Below are 19070 nucleotides of genomic sequence, written 5' to 3'. Positions count from 1 at the left end.
TTTTTTCCAATTCTGTGAAGAAAGTCATTGGAAGCTTGATGAGGATGGCATTGAATCTATAAATTACCTTGGGCAGTATCGCCATTTTCATGATATTGATTCTTCCTATCCAGGAGCATGGAATTTTCTTCTATTTGTTTGTGTCCTCTTTTATTTCATTGAGCAGTGGTTTGTAGTTCTCCTTGAAGAGGTCCTTCACATCCCTTGTAAGTTGGATTCCTAGGTATTTATTCTCTTTGCAGCTATTGTGAATGGGAGTTCACTCATGATTTGGCTCTCTGTTTGTCTGTTATTTGTGTATAGGAATGCTTGTGATTTTTGCACCTTGATTTTGTATCCTGAGACTTTGCTGAAGTTGCTTATCAGCTTAAGGAGTTTTTGGGCTGAGATGATGGGGTTTTCTAAATAGACAATCATGTCATCTGCAAGCAGGGACATTTTGACTTCCTCTTTTTCTAATTGAATACACTTCATTTCTTTCTCTTCCCTGATTTCCCTGGCCAGAACTTCCAACACTATGTTGAATAGGAGTGGTGAGAGAGGGCATCCTTGTCTTGTGTCAGTTTTCAAAGGGAATGCATCTAGTTTTTGCCCATTCGGTATGATATTGGCCGTGGGTTTGTCATAGATAGCTCTTATTATTTTGAGATACGTTTCATCAGTACCTAATTTATTGAGAGTTTTTAGCAAGAAGGGGTGTTGAATTTTGTCGACGGCCTTTTCTGCACCTATTAAGGTAATCATGTGGTTTTTGTAGTTGGTTCTGTTTATGTGATAGATTATGTTTATTTATTTGCATATGTTGAACCGGCCTTGCATCCCAGGGATGAAGCCAACTTGAGCATGGTGAATAAGCTTTTTGATGTGCTGCTGGATTCGGTTTGCCGGTATTTTACTGAGGATTTTTGCATCGATGTTCATCAGGGATATGGGTCTAAAACTCTCTTTTTTGTTGTGTCTCTGCCAGGCTTTGGTATCAGGATGATGCTGGCCTCATAAAATGAGTTAGGAATGATTCCTTCTTTTTCTATTGAGTGGAATAGTTTCAGAAGGAATGGTACCAGCTCCTCTTTGTACCTCTGGTAGAATTCAGCTGTGAATTCGTCTGGTCCTGGACTTTTTTTGGTTGGTAGGCTATTAATTATTGCCTCAATTTCAGAGTCTCTTATTGGTCTATTCAAAGATTCAACTTCTTCCTGGTTTAGTCTTGGGAGGGTGTGTGTGTCGTGGAATTTATCCATTTCTTCTAGATTTTCTAGTTTATTTGCCTAGAGGTGTTTACAGTATTCTCTGATGGTAGTTTGTATTTCTGTGGGGTCAGTGGTGATTCTTGTTTATCATTTTTTATTGTGTCTATATGATTCTTCTCTTTTCTTCTGTATTAGTCTTGCTAGCACTCTATCAATTTTGTTGATCTTTTCAAAAAACTAGCTCCTGGATTCATTGGTTTTTTGAAGGGTTTTTTTGTGTCTCTATCTCCTTCAGTTTGGCTCCGATCTTAGTTATTTCTTGCCTTCTGCTAGCTTTTGAATTTGTTTGCCCTTGCTTCTCTAGTTCTTTTAATGGTGATGTTAGGGTGTCAATTTTAGATCTTTCCTGCTTTCTCTTGTGGGCATTTAGTGCTGCAAACTTCCCTCTACACGCTGCTTTAAATGTGTCCCAGAGATTCTGATACGTTGTGTCTTTGTTCTCTTTGGTTTCAAAGAACATCTTTATTTCTGTCTTCATTTCTTTATTTACCCAGTAGTCATTCAGGAGCAGGTTGTTCAGTTTCCATGCAGTTGTGTGGTTTTGAGTGAGTTTATTCGTCCTGAGTTCGAATTTGATTGCACTGTGATCTGAGAGACAGTTTGTTGTGATTTCTATTATTTTACATTTGCTGAGGAGTGCTTTACTTCCAATTACATGGTTAATTTTAGAATAAGTGCAGTGTGGTGCTGAGAAGAATGTATATTCTGATGATTGATGATTTGGGGTGGAGAGTTCTGTAGATGTGTATTAGGTCTGCTTGGTGCAGAGCTGAGTTCAAGTCCTGGATATCCTTGTTAACCCTCTGTCTCATTGATCTGTCTAATGTTGACAGTGGGGTGTTAAAATCTCCCATTATTATTTTGTGGGAGTCTAAGTCTGTTTGTAGGTCTCTAAGGACTTGTTTTATGAATCTGGGTGCTCCTGTATTGGGTGCATATATATTTAGGATAATTAACTCTTCTTGTTGAATTGATACCTTTATCGTTATGCAATGGCCTTCTTTGTCTCTTTTGATCTCTGTTGGTTTAAAGTCTGTTTTATCAGAAACTAGGATTGCCACCCCTACTTTTTTCTTGCTTTCCATTTGCTTGGTAGATCTTCTTCCATCCCTTTATTTTGAAGCTATGTGTGTCTCTGCATGTGAGATGGGTCTCCTGATACAGCACACTGATGGGTCTTGACTCTTTATCCAATTTGTCAGTCTGTGTCTTTTAATTGGGGCATTTAGCCCATTTGCATTTAAGGTTAATATTGTTATGTGTGAATTTGATCCTGTCATTATGAAGTTAGCTGGTTATTTTGCCCATTAATTGATGCAGTTTCTTCATAGCATCAATGGTCTTTACTATTTGGCATGTTTTTGCAGTGGCTGGTACTGGTTGTTCCTTTACATGTTTAGTGCTTCCTTCAGGAGTTCTTGTAAGTCAGGCCTGGTGGTGACAAAATCTCTCAGCATTTGCTTGTCTGTAAAGGATTTTATTTCTCCTTCACTTATGAAGCTTAGTTTGACTGGATATGAGATTCTGAGTTGAAAATTCTTTTCTTTAAGAATGTTGAATATTGACCCCCACTCTCTTTTGGCTTGTAGGGTTTCTGCCAAGAGATCCGCTGTTAGTCTGATGGGCTTCCCTTTGTGGGTAACCCGACCTTCCTCTCTGGCTGCCCTTAACATTTTTTCCTTCATTCCAATCTTGATGAATCTGACAATAATGTGTCTTGGGGTTGCTCTTCTCAAGGAGTATCTTTGTGGTGTTCTCTGTATTTCCTGAATTTGAATGTGGGCCTGTCTTGCTAGGTTGGGGAAGTTCTCTTGGATAATATCCTGAAGAGTGTTTTTCAACTTGGTTCCATTCTCCCCGTCACTTTCAGGTACACCAATCAAACATAGTTTTGGTCTTTTCACATAGTCCCATGTTTCTTGGAGGCTTTGTTCATTTCTTTTTACTCTTTTTCCTCTAAACTTGTCTTCTCGTTTTATTTCATGAATTTGATCTTCAGTCATTGATATTCCTTCTTCCACTTGATCGAATCGGCTACTGAAGCTTGTGCATGCATCACGAAGTTCTCGTGCCATGGTTTTCAGCTCCATCAGGCCATTTAACGTCTTCTTTACACTGTTTATTCTAGTTAGCCATTCATCTAACATTTTGTCAAGGTTTTTAGCTTCCTTGTGATGGGTTAGAACATGCTCCTTTAGCTTGGAGGAGTTTGTTATTACGAACCTTCTGAAGCCTACTTCTGTCAACTCATCAAAGTCATTCTCCATTCAGCTTTGTTCCATTGCTGGTGAGGAGCTGTGATTCTTTTGAGGAGAAGCGGTGCTCTGGTTTTTAGAATTTTCAGCTCTTCTGCTCTGGTTTCTCCCCATCTTTGTGGTTTTATCTACCTTTGGTCTTTGATGTTGGTGACCTGCAGATGGGGTTTTGGTGTGGATGTCCTTTTTTTGATGTTGATGCTATTCCTTTCTAATTGTTAGTTTCCCTTCTAACAGTCAGGAACCTCAGCTGCAGGTCTGTTGGAGTTTGCTGGAGGTCCACTCCAGACCCTGTTTGCCTGGATATCAACAGCGGAGGCTGCAGAACAGCAAATATTGCAGAACAGGAAATATTGTTGCCTGGTCCTTCCTCTGGAAGCTTCATCCCAGAGGGGAAGCTGCCTATATGAGGTGTCTATCAGCCCCTACTGGGAGGTGTCTCCCAGTTAGGCTACATGGGGATCAAGGACCCACTTGAGGAGGCAGTCTGTCTGTTCTCAGAGCTCAAACATCATGCCAGGAGAACCACTGCTTTCTTCAGAGCTGTCAGGCAGGGACGTTTAAGTCTGCAGAAGTTTCTGCTGCCTTTTGTTCAGCTATGCCCTGCCCACAGAGGTGGAGTCTATAGAGGCAGTAGGCCTTGCTGAGCTGTGGTGTCCTCTGCCCAGTTCAAGCTTCCTGGCTACTTTGTTTACCTACTCAAGCCTCAGCAATGGCAGATGCCTCTCCCCCTGCCAGGCTGCCGCCTCGCAGGTAGATCTCAGACCTCGCAGGTCGATCTCAGACTAGCAGTGAGCAAGGCTCCGTTGGCATTGAACCTACAGAGCTAGGCATGGGAGAAAATCTCCTGGTCTGCCGGTTGCTAAGACTGTGAGAAAAGTGCAGTATTTGGGTGGAAGTGTCCTGTTTTTCCAGGTACAGTCTGTCATGGCTTCTCTTGGCTAGGAAAGGGAAATCCTCCAACCCCTTGTGCTTCCTGGGTAAGGCAACGCCCTGCCCTGCTTCAGCTCACCCACCATGGGCTGCACCCACTGTCCAACCAGTCCCAATTAGATGAACCAGGTACCTCAGTTGGAAATGCAGATATCACCCGTCTTCTGAGTTGATCACACTGGGAGCTGCAGACCAGAGCTGTTCCTATTCAGCCATCTTGGAATGGGATCAATGTTGGTGTTTTAACTCTTTTTTTTTTTAATTGAGATGGAGCCTTGCTCTGTTGCCTAGACTGGAGTGCAGTGGCGCTGGTGTGAACAGCTCACTACAACCTCCACCTTCTGGTTTCAAGCGATTCTCCTGCCTCAACCTCCCTAGTTGCTGGAATTACAGGTGCCTGCCATCATTTGCAGCTAATTTTTGTATTTTAAGTAGAGGTGGGGTTTTGCCATGTTGGCCAGGCAGATCTCAAACTCCTGACCTCAGGTGATCTGCCCACTTTGGCCTCCCCAAGTGCTGGGATTACTGGCTTGAGCCACCGCATCTGGTCTTAGCTCATATTTCATTGTGAAAATCATGCATGTTAATATATAGAGATTAAGTTTATTCATTTTCTAATGTTGTATACTATTTCACTCTATACATATACGAGAATTCATTTATCAGTTCTCTCGTTGATGCACACATACATGTTTTCCTGATTTTTACTCTTCCACTCAATGCTTAAGTGAAAATTCTTGTCATTTTTTTTTTTTTTTTTGCATGTGTCTGAGAATTCTAAAGGGCATATACTTAGGAATAAAATTTTTGGGTTATGAGTTATCTAAATAGGAAGAATACTGGAATAATCTAGATAATAAGTACCTGGATCATCTAGTAGATCTAGATAATGGGAAAGAACAAAAGATTAGTGAGAAATATTGGATAACAATTGAGTTTTCACAGTATGCGAGGAGAGATAAAGAAGTAAGATTTAAGAATGACACTGAGGTTATACGGCAGGGAATGGCTCAGAAAATGATGCTACCTCAGACAGAAATGAGAATGTATTGTAGGGGCAAAAAGGTTCCTCACCCATTGCAAGGGTCATACCTGATATTCCTGTAACAAAAAACAGGCTAGCAAGTGAATAGCATAACAAATTTATTTTACGAAGTTTTGTATGACATGGGAGCCTTCAGAAATGAAGACCCAAAGACCCAGGGAAAACTGTGTTTTGTCTGATGAAAGAAGAGGTTGGTTGTAGGGAAACACAATGCAAAAAAAAAAAAAAAAGTATTACCTAGTGATAATAAAACTGGGGTGAACTTAGCAAAGCCTGTTTGTTTAGATTTCTTTTGGCCTTTCTGTGTGGTATTCCTTTTCCCTGGGTATGGGGTAGGATCTTTCTGGAATGAGGGTCTTATGACCCACTTTCAGGGGAGATAGAGCAGAAAGTGACCTCTAGGTTTTGTGGCTTTCTTTGAGGGGAGTAGAATTGCAGTTTCTATGACCTGCCATGGGAAAGAGGAATTCTGGTTTCTATGTTTCACTTTGGAGGAGAGGCCAGGAGACAGAAGGGCAGGAGAAGGACAGAATGACCTTGCTTCTGAGACCCTCCATTGGTCTTCAGTTCATAGTACTCAGTATGTTAAGGCACCATACTTCAGGGTATTGTGTACTGAGCCCTGATATGATGGAAAAGTGCTTACCTGAGGAAATATATTTAAGGTATGTCTGTGGGGTGGTGATGGGAATTGCAATTTAGACAATTTAGAATTCCAGCAAATTATTTAATATTTTAAATGAAATCTTGAGAGAAACAAATAGTATCAGAGATGTAAATTATATACTGTTTGCATGGATGTTGTGGTTGAGACAATTTAAAATGAGGGGCCCTAAATAAGAGAAGGTTGGCAGAACAAGAAAAGGTCAAGAGAGCAGTGCCAGCAGAGTTCTGGGGCAGACGACATTATTGCCTACTATTATTCAAGTTGGTTTCCTTCTAGGAGAGTCCTCACCCATTGCCATGTGACTTTGTGTGCCTCCTGTGGGAGGAGTATGCTTCCCAGCCTCATAGATTTTGGGTTTGGATGCAGGATATACTTTGGCTAATTAAAGGCACGAGAGCAAAGGTGAGGAATGAAATAGCTAAACAGAAATGTGGGAGCTGCTTCTTTGCTTAGATCCCAGAGAAGAAGACACAAGGGCAGGGCCCCAGCTTTCAGCAGAGCTACAACCAACCCGCAGTCTAGTCAAGCAAATTTGCAAGTAGTTAAGAATTGAGTGGTTAAAGTTAACATTGATTATGGCCTAATTGCTTAAGAATTCTAGTGGTAAAACAAAGAAGTGAGAAGTGTGGTAGAAACCTCCAAAGCTCACCCATATCCAATTCTCTTCTTTTTCCCCAGAGAGAATCTTTGACCGTGGAGGTGCTTTTGCCAGTAAAATTTCTGCAAATGTGACATGTATCAGTGTTGGGCAGAGCTTGTGTGCAAATCTCCATCCTTCTCTTCCCCTCTTGTGCTAGCCATGGAGGATGTATGCATTAGATGTACAATTATAGTATGGTTGTATAAAGAATATAAAGGGTACTATTATACATCTAATGCATACATCCTCCCCTAGCCATGGAGGATGTATGCATTAGATGGGATTTTGAGTTGCCACATACAGATATTTGTTCTGGAGAGTCACCTGCCCTGTGGTACACCTAATATGAGCACTAAATGAAGCCTTGTTGTTTCCTCTGAGATGGTGATGTTATTGCAGCAAAGCCTAGCATATCTTGACCAGATGGCATGTTATGTTGAAGCATCAACATGATTCAGTGAAACTAAGATTGTTTGAGGATAAAAACAAAAACCCCTAAAGAAAAGGAAAAGATGTCAGAAGGGGTAAACAAATGAAGTAAGATAGCAGAAGAAAGGAGACGGGATAGAAAAGTAGATTAATAGGAAAAATGAAAGTCATCTCTTCCTCAAGGTTATGAGTGGATTCCCATGGTATAGGGCAATCTATTTATTTTGGTGAGGGTTGTGAATTTTCCTAAAGAGTTGAGCTAAGAAGATGAAAATTTTACCAAAAGGAACATTTTTACTTAAAAATAACAAAATTCTCATTGACGGTGAAGGAGAGTTTATTGCCCATGGAGCATATCACAGAAAAGGTGACATTGGCCTCAAGGACAATTGGATCCATGGTCTGTGATGTTGTCAGGGCCCTGTCTCTACCTCTGTGTCACTTCTCAGCTTTTCTCACATATTGAGTTTATTTTTTCTTAATATAGACAAGTTTTATTCCCCCATATGACAGGAAACATGGCTACTTGCAGCCCTGAACTCATTGCCCAGCAGTTCTGCCATCAGAGAGGAAAGACATGATTTCTGCTCCTTTAATCCAGAAATGTCCTGAAGCAGAAATCTGCATGGTTATGCATCTATCCCAGGCCAATCTCAGTTGCCAGACAGTTGGACAATGTAGGGGAAAAAGGATTTCTTACCTATTGCAGAAACCGTAATGCTCATGGCTAAGACTGGTGTAATAAAAGACAGATTAACAAGAGAAGAGCATGTACATTTATTTGTTGTACATGACATGGGAAACTTCAGAAAAGAAGACCCGAAGAAACAGAGAAAACTGGATTTTTATTAAAGGACAAAAGCGTTAGCTCTAGTGGTAATAAACTGGCAGGGATATAGCAAGGCCTGTCTGTTCAGTTTCTTCTTGGTGTCTCTGTGTCTTCAGAGATAAGGACTTTCCTTTCCTTCAGGTACAGGGTGGGCACCTGTCACAAGAGGGTCTTCAGGGGAGAAGGGAGGGAGAAAGTCAGAAAGTGACCTTTCTAGGTTTTATGGCCTGTTTCAGGAAAAAAGGGTGAGAGGACATTGAGAGTGGCCTTTCTGCTTCTACTGTTTTCTCAATATCCAGGGTGCCATATTTTGGGATAGAATTTTGTGCACCTCATCATTAATTTTATTGGCTCAGCTTGGTTCACATACTCATTTTAATGCTGAAGAGCACAAAATCTATTGCCAGAAGAGATGGAATAGGTCCTGGGCAAGGAAATACAATGATTGCTACAGGAATATTAAAGTAATCGGTGTAGTAGAGTTCTCTACATTTTGCAATACAGCTTGATTGCTGAATGGGTGGTCATCAATTCCACAGAAAGCCCCAAATTCTACATTTTGAAATATTTATTCAAATATCATATAATCAGAAACTTGGACTTCAGTTAACGAAATGGCAGAAACTTATTGACCAACAATGACAGGAAATAACAGGGATAATAGGGAAGAATGGCCAGTCAAGTACTTAATAGCATAGCTATCTTCATTTCTTAGCTAGAATAATGTTATCTATACGATATAATGTCAGAAACACTTGGCAAGGCCTTGTTGCAAAGTTTGTCCTCAAACAGCATCTTTCTGATGCCTTCATAAACTCTTTGAGGAAGTCACTGTAACCCCTTAAAATAACACAAATACCCTGAAGAGGCGAGATAGGACATAACATCTGTTGAATATCTACTGGACACATTATCAGTGTTATTGCTATTACTCCTGAGAGGTAAGTAATACATATGCTCATTTAGTAGATGAATCTGAAGATGAGAAGTTTCCTAACTTCCCCAAGTTTAAACAGAGTCCAAACCAAGTTTAGCTAATCTAGGATTGAAAACCAGGTCTGTCTGCGTACAAAATTCTTTCCAGCCTGTTTCCAGTTATTAACATTTTATTATGAACTAATTCATCAGGTTTTTTTTTTTTTTTTTTTTTTTTTTTTTTTTGAGACAGAGTTTCACTCTTGTTGCCCAGGCTGGAGTGCAATGGTGTGATCTCGGCTCACGGCAACGTCTGCCTCCAGTGTTCATGCCATTCTCCTGCCTCAGCCTCCTGAGTAGCTGAGATTACAGGCATATGCCACCACACCCAGCTAATTTTGTATTTTTAGCAGACAGGGTTTCTCCATGTTGGTCAGGTTGTTCTGGAACTCCTGACCTCAGGTCATCTGCCTGCCTCAGCCTCCCAAAGTGCTGGGATTACAGGTATGAGCCACCACCACACCTGGCCTCATCAGATATTTTAAAAGATTATGCAAACTTCTTTTGCAATAACTTAGGTAAACAAATATCAATCTTTCCCATGTGATTTCCCCTGGCCTTGGATCAGCTGAGACAAAATGTAAATGTGGGATTTTAAATGATACATGTTGCCAGGGAAAGGGATTCTAGGAAAAGAAGTGTAGATAATTTGTGCCTTACCATGCTAATGCTTGTGGCAGTTCTCAGTTAAGTGGTATCCAGGTGGGCTACTGATGCCAGCTGGGTTATTGTGAAGGAACAGTGGGGGTTAGAGAGAACCTGGGGCTACCTAAAGAAAAGTGAACCTCTGAGAAGCCAATTAAGAGGGGAGGACCTTTAGCTAGCCTATTAGGGGAGGCATTTAGTGAAAGAACCAAGAGGAGAGACAGCTCATCATAGAGATACTAAGGGAAACTCAGAGATTGGAGGCTGAGCTTAGTAGTGCCATATAGGAGGCTGCATCTCCAGGACAGAGAAAAATCTATTCAGATTTTCTCTGGGCAGATTCTGGGACGTACCAGCTAATGATGAAATTTGGGAACCTGGGAATAAATCTGAGATGGCACAGAAAGAAGAGATCTGGCGGCCCATAGAGGGAAGATTGTTGATTTCTTTGGTTCAAAAGGGATCTAAAGGAAACAGCCTGACTGAGCACAAAGTATAGTGTCCTTGAGTAGGAGCCTACTGCTGGGAAGAAAATGTCATGAAATAGAGAGGCTGGTTTGTGTTTAAATGAATGCCAAGATAAATTAGAAACATGACACCATCCACCTAAGGCATATAATCTTTATATGGTTAACACAGAGATCCTAACTCAATGCTGTAAACATAATTTATGCACCTGAGCTGATTATACTTTCGAACACTGCTGGGAAGGATGGAAGCTGTGAATCTCATAGTTGTTGTCTTCAGAGGAGTAATCTGCACACCATGACTTCAATATTTCTGCGATCCAAAATGCCAACAGAGCCATGTTGAGGAAAACCTCTGTTGAGTTTGTTATATAACAAATAAATTTTGCAGGGAGGAAAGTAGACAGATGTCTCTAGACCCTAGTTACTGCCCTGGGAGGGAATGCAGGCTTCCCTGACATCTTACAGAGAGGGACCCTGGTCAATCCGGTGCAATAGGAGGGTATTGTGTTGCCTGGATAGAAGGAGAGATGCAAAGAGAAAAACGAAATTTAAAAAGAGGGTTAAAGGACATAATTTTCTCCAGGGTTTGACTTGGTAAGAAGTTCCATAGGGTCAGCACAGGTCAGGTAGCTGTGAATATTTCCTTGGCCATGGCTGTAAGATGACTCTTCAAATACTATAGTTCATGTAAGACCCATCAGAGTAAAACCATGACTATTAAAATGAGGGGAAAGAACAGCATAAGTGAGGAAGAATTTAAAAGGAAAGAACAGGTACAGCACTGCCCAGGGTCAGACTATTTCCTCAGAGCAGACAAAGAAACTTATGCAAAATTTATGACGGACTTAGATCTAGGACAGTGCATGCTTTGAAACTCCAATCTATTTAAATGATGATAAATGTCACAGCTGTCCTCCTTTATGGAATGATTTGCCCAGTAGAAGAGAAAGATTTCAAACTGTCTTTTCCAAAGAGGGGATAAAAATCACTTAAAACTGGTCATTCAGACTGTCTCATGAGTCTTTTGAGCTGCAGGAAGTTATATTCCTTTAAAGAGAACCTACAAATAAATGATTATATAACTATAAATTAATGGTCCATTTAGTCCTGGTTTTGGTTATAATTAAAATAGGATATTCTCTTGTTATGCCAACCACAAAAGTTTAGTGGTAAACTCTCTATTTCTTTTTTCAATAACCCATCATTTAGTTGTCCCTTTGTTGTTTTAGTAAAATGACTTGGAACCCAGCAGTCATACCTTATTCTATTTCATATGGTACTGAAATTCGCAACTTGTGTAAAGAAATACAGTGCTTCAATTTTCTGGACACTCTCAAGAATGAAGATTCACACCCCTAGGATCTAGTGAGCAGCTAGATATTTCACCCTTCTACAAAGTTCAATATTGTATTTTTGCCCACTTGAGCTTCCTCCTTTAGACCGACTGCTGTTGGGGTGAAGGCAAAACAAAGAAGCACGTCTGAAAGATACCTCAGGAAGTGTTTTTCCCTGTTCAACTGTGGCTATTTATGTATTGCTCCTAGGTGGATGTAACTAGAAGATTTAGTTCTTTAGATTACATATGCATCATTCCAAGTGGTAAGAACAGACATGTTTTTACATAAAAAAGCAAAGAACAAAATAGTATGCATTTTAATACTGGCATTTGTATGAAACTTTTTATGTACACATATCTTTATGAATGCACAGACAGTCTCTGAAAACATATTCAAGGAACTTTTAAAGAGCTGTGCTATTAGGGAGGCCGACTGGTGGCTAGAGGAAAAGGCAGGGATAGGGAGAGATTTACTTTTCACCATGAACACTTTTATAACCTTTCAAGGTTGTGCCATGTGCTTGTATTGTCTATCAAAATGATAACCAACCAACAAGCAAGGAGAACAAAACAAAGTGGTGGGATTGACCTTTCTAGGACATTGGGGTTCTTATAGTTGGCTGATATAGAATTTGATTATTGAAGCCTTTGAAGTATTAATACTTCTTTCCTGCACTTTGTTGAGATTGGTGACCCATCACGTGCTTACTTGCTATTTTGTTCTCTTTATGTCTGAGGGCCATTGGGAAAGGAGTGCAGACTAAATTCTTCTTATAATACCCAAAGTCTGTAGATCAAGAGTTTTCTGTCAAACTACAAAGATGCTCACACCACAGAAACCCTATTAGCATGTAGGCATAAGTATAGAGTATGATTGATGCATGCTATACAGTGGCAGGGAATTTAACTTTTCCTCAGTTGACAGGATTTGGGATAATCCTAGTGAAGGAAAGGAAAAAGGAGCTTAAAAACATAAAACAAGAGTACAGATCTGGCAGGGGGCAGAGGCTTGAAGAAACCTAAGAGTTATAGGGCTGTATTTTTTAGACATATTTTGGTTACAAGTGGCGAAAATACTATTTGAATTATTCTGGGCAAAAAGTGAACTTTATTAGGATACTGAAGGGCATCCCCACATTCTGAGAAGGTAGGGGCACAATATTATTGAGAATCTCTCTCAAATCCTATCTCTTCTCTCAATTTCTCACTGCATTCCTGCTTTATTCTTTCAGATCTGCTTCATCGACATGGCAGGGAACGTGGCTGAACACAGAGGACTCATTTTTGCAGCTTCCCTACCAGAGAGAGAGAGACACCCTTTTTACCCGAGTTCTGAGTTGAAATATCCTAGAAGAGAACTCTGATTGGCCTGGCTTGGGTCACATGCCTGTCCTTGAGTTGATCAACTGTGATTAGTTATAAGTGTACTCATTAGTAACTTCCCCTGGAACCTTAGATTTGATGTGGGGTAAGACTTCCAAAAACAAACAAAAAAATAAAACAGAAGAATGCTATTTCTGGAGAAAAGAATCTGAAAAATAGATTAACAATATAAAGGCAGCACAAGTAGCAAAGAGTTAATAAGCTGTAATTTCAGGAGCACTCCCTTATTGTCTCATAATTCCTTGGACTACCTCCAATAGTTAAGAATCTTAGTAATAACACTCTGAAAAAGGCAACTTGTGAAACTCACTTGAGTTTAAATGACTGGTAGGCCATCTCTTTTCTGAGATCAGAACCTTTTGTTTGCAGAGGGAGAAAGAAATAGGATGGAGAAGGCAGACTTAGAGTGTCTGGAGGAAGTAGGATGCAGGAATTCTATGCCACTGCCACTCCTTTGTCGTTTCTTGGTACCAATTTCTCCCTGTCAAGCTGGTAGCGTTACTGAGGTATCAATACCACCAATAGGGCCATAGAGGTTGCATATCTCCATCACTCACATTATACCCTATAGATTTCTAGAATGTTTTACAACGTCATTGTGAATGGTGGCTTCTGGAGTTAAATAATGGGGCAGTCTACATTGATTATCAAATGTGCATACTTGCTTCATTTCAAAAGCTTTATTTTATTCTTATTATGTATATAATACATACATCTGTGGGGATTAGTCCTAAAATATCAAAATAAAAATATTCCATTAAATGACACTATATTTATTTCCCATACTTGAGTTGGCAAACTAAAGCCTATAGGCCAAATCTAGCCTGCTACCGGTTATTATAAATAATGTTTTATTGGAACATAGCCAACTCATTTTTTTTTTACCTATTGTCTACGGCTACTTTCATGCTACAATGACAGATATCGGTAGTTATGACAGAAACCATAGGGTTCACAAAACCTAAAATACTTATTATCTGGCCCTTTACAGGAAAATTTGCTAATCTGTGGACTGGAGCCTACACTAAATAGAAGTTTTTCATTGATCTGGGAAACACAACGCTTCACAGTATTAGTAATTTTATTACAAATGAAATTATCTGCAAGTAAACAAAAGGTGGCAATGATTCTGTTGGGATCATGAAAAATTAAAGATCATGGAAGGGTGCTGAGAGATTATGGAGCCCAGCTCTTGTCTTTACAAGTAGGGAGACTGAGGCCCAGGGAAACTAGTGACCTTGTTCAAAGTCACATATCAAGTCCAATTTAAGTCTTGACTGACGTTCTTCCATGACAATGTTTGAAATAGCTCCACATTCTCTTCTGTGTGTACTTTATCATTTTTAAAACTAATTTTCCTCCATTTTCAAGTTTTTAACTTGCACAAGTCCTCCAGTCAGTAGTATTGGTGTGTTCACCTTGATTTTAAGTATTTCATTACTGTGACTGTACCACAGTATCCATAATATGCTCATATTAATTATTCTCAACTTACCCACTCTTTCTGTTCTTTTTCTTAATAACTCCATATGCCCTTTCCCTATGTGATGAGTTCTTTATGAATGGCAGTTTCAGATTGGCTGCTGGGTATTCCCTGTACTTTTTCTTTATTGAGCCATCCCCTACCAGATGTTCTCACATTCCTCTTTTATTCCAGAAAGTCACCTTGGATGATGTTGATATCAGGAAGCCTGGGCTTTTGAGAGATAAAGTTCAGAATACAGTAATTAAGCAACATTGTCCAGTGATTATGTCTTTCCTGCACCAGCAACCTTGATGTGGGCATTCATTGTCTCCTCTCTCATGTCACCCAGCAAACACTAAGCTGAAATACATGGACTGAGTTTGTCCCCAGGTACCTGGCAATTTAGGATATCAGAGATTCTATATAAATCAGAAATGGAAAGGCTAGCAGTGGAGTATTTTGGCAGGACAGTGTGTCCTAGCACAGGAAAGGATGCAATAGTATGAGCAAGATATCTGTTCAGTTGCAAGCAAAAGGCTTTCAGGGAGTCACGTTAGCTTACAACATGAAATAATACAAAAGTAACAGTAGATCAGAAGTCTGGAGACCTAGATTTTGTGTAATTAATTTGCTGTGTGACCTTAGGTGAGCTGGTTAGTCTCTGTGGACCTAAGTTTCCTTATCTATAAAATGAGAAGGTTGAGCAACAATAAATTCAATGCACCTTCTACTTAGTGACTATATTTTCTGAGCCCCAAATTAGGACATATGCTCTGACAAGTGCAATTACACTTATGGGGACAATGAGACAGGAGATTTGAAATACGGATTATCCTAGAAAATGTGGAACATATGGCTGCTATATTTCCAGTTATAAAATTCTTTGAGATTTAAGGCCCTCTTATTGCTTTTGTGTATTTAAGAACTTTCTAAAATTTACGGGTTGTTAATGATGCTGGCCACAAATTCTATTAATTTTTATGTCTCATACTTTCTCAGCCTTTACATTGTCACTATATTCTTTACATTCCAAAGCAAATTCCTTTATGCTCTATTCACTCATTCAAAAAATACTTAAAATTCCTCTTATGTGCTCCACTAGGATTGCTGGATACAGTTATCCAAGTTGTTTCCCGCACTAGGTGTCCAGACCATAGGACTAGGAGAGGTAAAATGTGGTCCACACTCTGCCCACCAAGCCCAGGCCAAGTTCACCCTGAGGAAGTGGCATAACAACATCATATGTGCTAGTGGTCTTCCTATGTTAAGCATTGGACATATAATAGGGCTACAAGATAAACACAAACTCTACCTTCTTAAAAATAATAAATTAAGTGGGAAAAATAGATATTAAATAAATAATTACAGAAAATTGGTAAGTACTTAGTACTGAGAGGGATGAACAAATTATTAAGAGAACACATATGAAGGAACAAGTAATTCTTATCGAGCAGAAGGTGCAGGTGGGGAATGGAGAGAGGAAAAAATTTCAGGGGGAGTTATTATTTGGTATCTTCTTGGCATATCACTTGATCCCAAGAAGAAGGAGAACTGGTATAGATTAATTATGTTCAGGTATATTTATTAGAACAGGTTTTCTAGAGGATGGAGCTTTGGTTTCCAGTATAAAAAAATTAAACTTTTAGTAAGTTAAATAGCCCTATTTCTCTTCTTCCATAGGTCGTGGAGACAAGTCAGGGCCTGTGGCCTTCCTGCTTAAGAAAAGTGATCTTTTACCCCAATTCTCACTCTTCCTTTTCTCTTGGACTTTTAGAAAGACATTTAGAAATTAGAATGAAGTCTCACCAAAAAGTCCATTACTGTGTCCAGGGGAAATAATTGAGTTCAAGGCAGTCCTTCTCAAGTTAGCCAACACAGGGCTTCAGCTTGGGGTTCAAACTCAAAACCAAGTTATAAACTGTTCTTTTGCTTGGCCTTAATGTATGTAGTAATAGTTCCCTTAGCAACCGTGCAAAGTAATAGGTGACTAATAAGGGCAGAACTCTAGGGTTCAGGAACCTATCCTCAATATCATCCTGTTACTAATAATTACATTTAAGCTGAATTTTAAAGGACAAGGGATGAGTAGGAGTTTGCCTGGCAAACAAGTTGTGGAAGGGTATTATATGTGAAAGGAACAATATGTGCAATTACTTGAATTAGTAAATGATATTGCATATTTGGGAAACAGGAACAAAGGATGGGCTGAACAGCTAGATTGGGAATATAAAGAGACATGCTGCTCAACTAGAAAGTGTAGATTTTATCCTGTGGGCAATTGACAGAGCTAATGGAAGTTAGCAAGTGACAGAATGCCATCTTTACATCTCTTACAGTGTGATGGGCAGATTGGAATAGAGAAAAGACTGGAAACCAGTTAGAGGTAGAGGGTCTTGAACAGGGCAACAGAATGAGAATAGTGAGAAGAAACCTGATTCAAGAGACAGGACCTTTTGGACGTGACCAGGAGGAAGAGGAGGCAACATGGATGCTAGGATGCTTGCATGCTGATATCAACAATATTGTATGTTAGGGGTAAATTTGGTTGGTGAAAGTGGGGGTTGGGGATGAGGGATAATGGTTACATAAAAGGATTTAGAAATACTTCTGTGGGAGGTTGATTTGATTTTCTGAGGTAGAGCAGGGTGAGATTTGATGGACAATTGCTATTTGATGTAAAAACAAAGAACCATTCTGCTCTGCCTCTCAGTTCAACTGTTCCCATCTATTCCTCTAATGAAAACTGTATAAGCATGCATTTGTAGTGGAGAATTACTGCTAGGTGGACAGGGTCAGGGACTAGCACTGCAGAGAATGTATTGTAATCAGACCAACAAAGCTCTGTTACTAGAGACAATTTGCTAGGATGTGCAAATAGTTTACTCATTTAGATACTTAGTAACAGAGCTTGACCCAAAGCAGGGAAAGAGGTGTTAGACTAACAAAAATAAAAAATATGATAATAAGTGTATTGTTTCAGGCACTTGATGCACATTAATTTTATTTAATCCTTACAATAACACCATGAAGGGAATATTATTCTCCTTGTTTTATAGAGAAGGAAACTGGAACACAGAGATATAAAGTAACTTACCCAAGGACTATTATTACCATGTAGCAGAGGAATTAGAAAACCAGGTCTCCCTGGTTCCTTGCTCTCTTCAGCATGAGATACCTCCTCTTTAGCCTACTTAAGAGTGAAGACAATTAGCAGCATCATTTGCATTTAAATAATATATTTGCTAAGCACAACTGATTCTTATCTATTTGTTAATGAACTGCTGGATTCTATAAAACGTTTGTGGCTTCCAGGGCCTTTTTCTCTTCACTCTCTCCCCAGTTAGTTTTTTCTTTCACAAAGTCTAGGACACATTAAGGTGGTTTCAATTCTGGTGAAATCAATTTACCCATGGTAGGTATTTGTCAACTTTTCAGGCTCAACTCAAGATACACCTCTTGCTTTTTTGGCTGCTGAAATTTTAAAATCAATATCCTATTATTTAGGGTCATGCTTCATCTCATTGGCATATAGTTAGTAGGTGCTTAATAAATACTTGCAAGGAAGTAATGGGCTTTCAGCTCCTGGGCTTATGCAATTTTGCCCCAAAATGTATTCAAATGATCTCTCATCTTCTATGCTTTCTCCCCACTATTGCTGCTATATTCACCAATATCCAAAACTGAATATGAATAAAATCAATTATATTCATTTCTCTCTTAAACAGTCATCCTTTGTCGTCTCCCACCCTTGGTTACTGGTATCATCATTATCCTAGCCAATCTGTCTCATTTCCAATTCCTCGTCTTCTTCCTCAAGAGATTCTACCATAGATATATTGCTTGAATCAAATCCCTTCTTTCCACTGCCATCATACTTATTAAAAGAAGTCTCTATCGTCACTTGCTGAGGGATTGCAGTAGCTTCCTAGTTGGTCTTTCTTCATCCAATATATTCCCTCTTCAATAGATTTGGCACAAAGTTGGTTCTATCTTCCCCTGCTTAAAAATCTTGAATATTTGACTCCTATACATGATGTTCAAAGGCCTCCACAATATGGCACCTGCTGATCTTTCTAGTCTCACCTTGGTTGCCTCCTTTCACAACCTGCTCAACAGCCACACTAGCCACTCTTCTGCCCCCTTAATGTCCCCATCACTTTCCTACCTCTGAACCTGTGCTCATGCGTGCAGAGCTTTCTCCCTAGCACAAGAAGTCACAAGTGGGACATGCACGATTCTACTGTCCCACTTGGGTCCAAGGGAGAGACTGCTAATCAGTCACAGCATCACAGCACAGTACCCCAGCAGGCCTGGACTCAGCCTCGGACTCCTCAGACAGGGGATCCCAATTCTCTCATAATGAACAGAACCTGGCATTAAGTTTATCTGGCCCTTGTAGGGCTTTTACCTTTTACTAACTACCAAATCCAAACCATCTGTCAAGGTCCAGGTGAAATGACATCTCTGTCATGACAGCATCCCTATATTCCTGCTTAAATTAATTATGTTCCCCTGGATTTTCTCTTGACCTTTACTATATGGATTTTATTTGTTTGTTGTGTTTTTTGATTTGCATAGTAATTATTTATGTATAAATTGATCCTCTATTAGAATCTATGTGTCCTGAGGGTGAAGTTGATGTCAGATTTACATTTGAGTGTTCTACAGCTCTAACTACAGTTTATGGGATTAATGTTTGTCAAATGAAGCGGCTTCTCACACACTGTGCCTTTATTAAGGTAATACAC

General features: G+C 39.6%; 1 long non-coding RNA gene across 1 annotated transcript in view; it reads left to right on the top strand.

The window, feature by feature from the left end:
• The window catches only part of LOC105374060 (uncharacterized), a 302423-nt gene extending 289435 nt beyond the window's left edge, over nt 1-12988 (top strand). Inside the window, exon 4 of the long non-coding RNA NR_135547.1 lies at nt 12707-12988. This is a non-coding gene — a long non-coding RNA (uncharacterized LOC105374060). The remainder of the gene's footprint in view (nt 1-12706) is intronic.
• The last annotated feature ends 6082 nt before the right edge of the window (nt 12989-19070 follow it).

The sequence above is a fragment of the Homo sapiens genome, chromosome 3, assembly GCF_000001405.40.
Source record: "Homo sapiens chromosome 3, GRCh38.p14 Primary Assembly".
Classification (NCBI taxonomy): domain Eukaryota; kingdom Metazoa; phylum Chordata; class Mammalia; order Primates; family Hominidae; genus Homo; species Homo sapiens.
The sequence above is the reverse complement of the archived record's forward strand: the minus strand, read 5'-3'. Positions and strand labels throughout refer to the sequence as shown.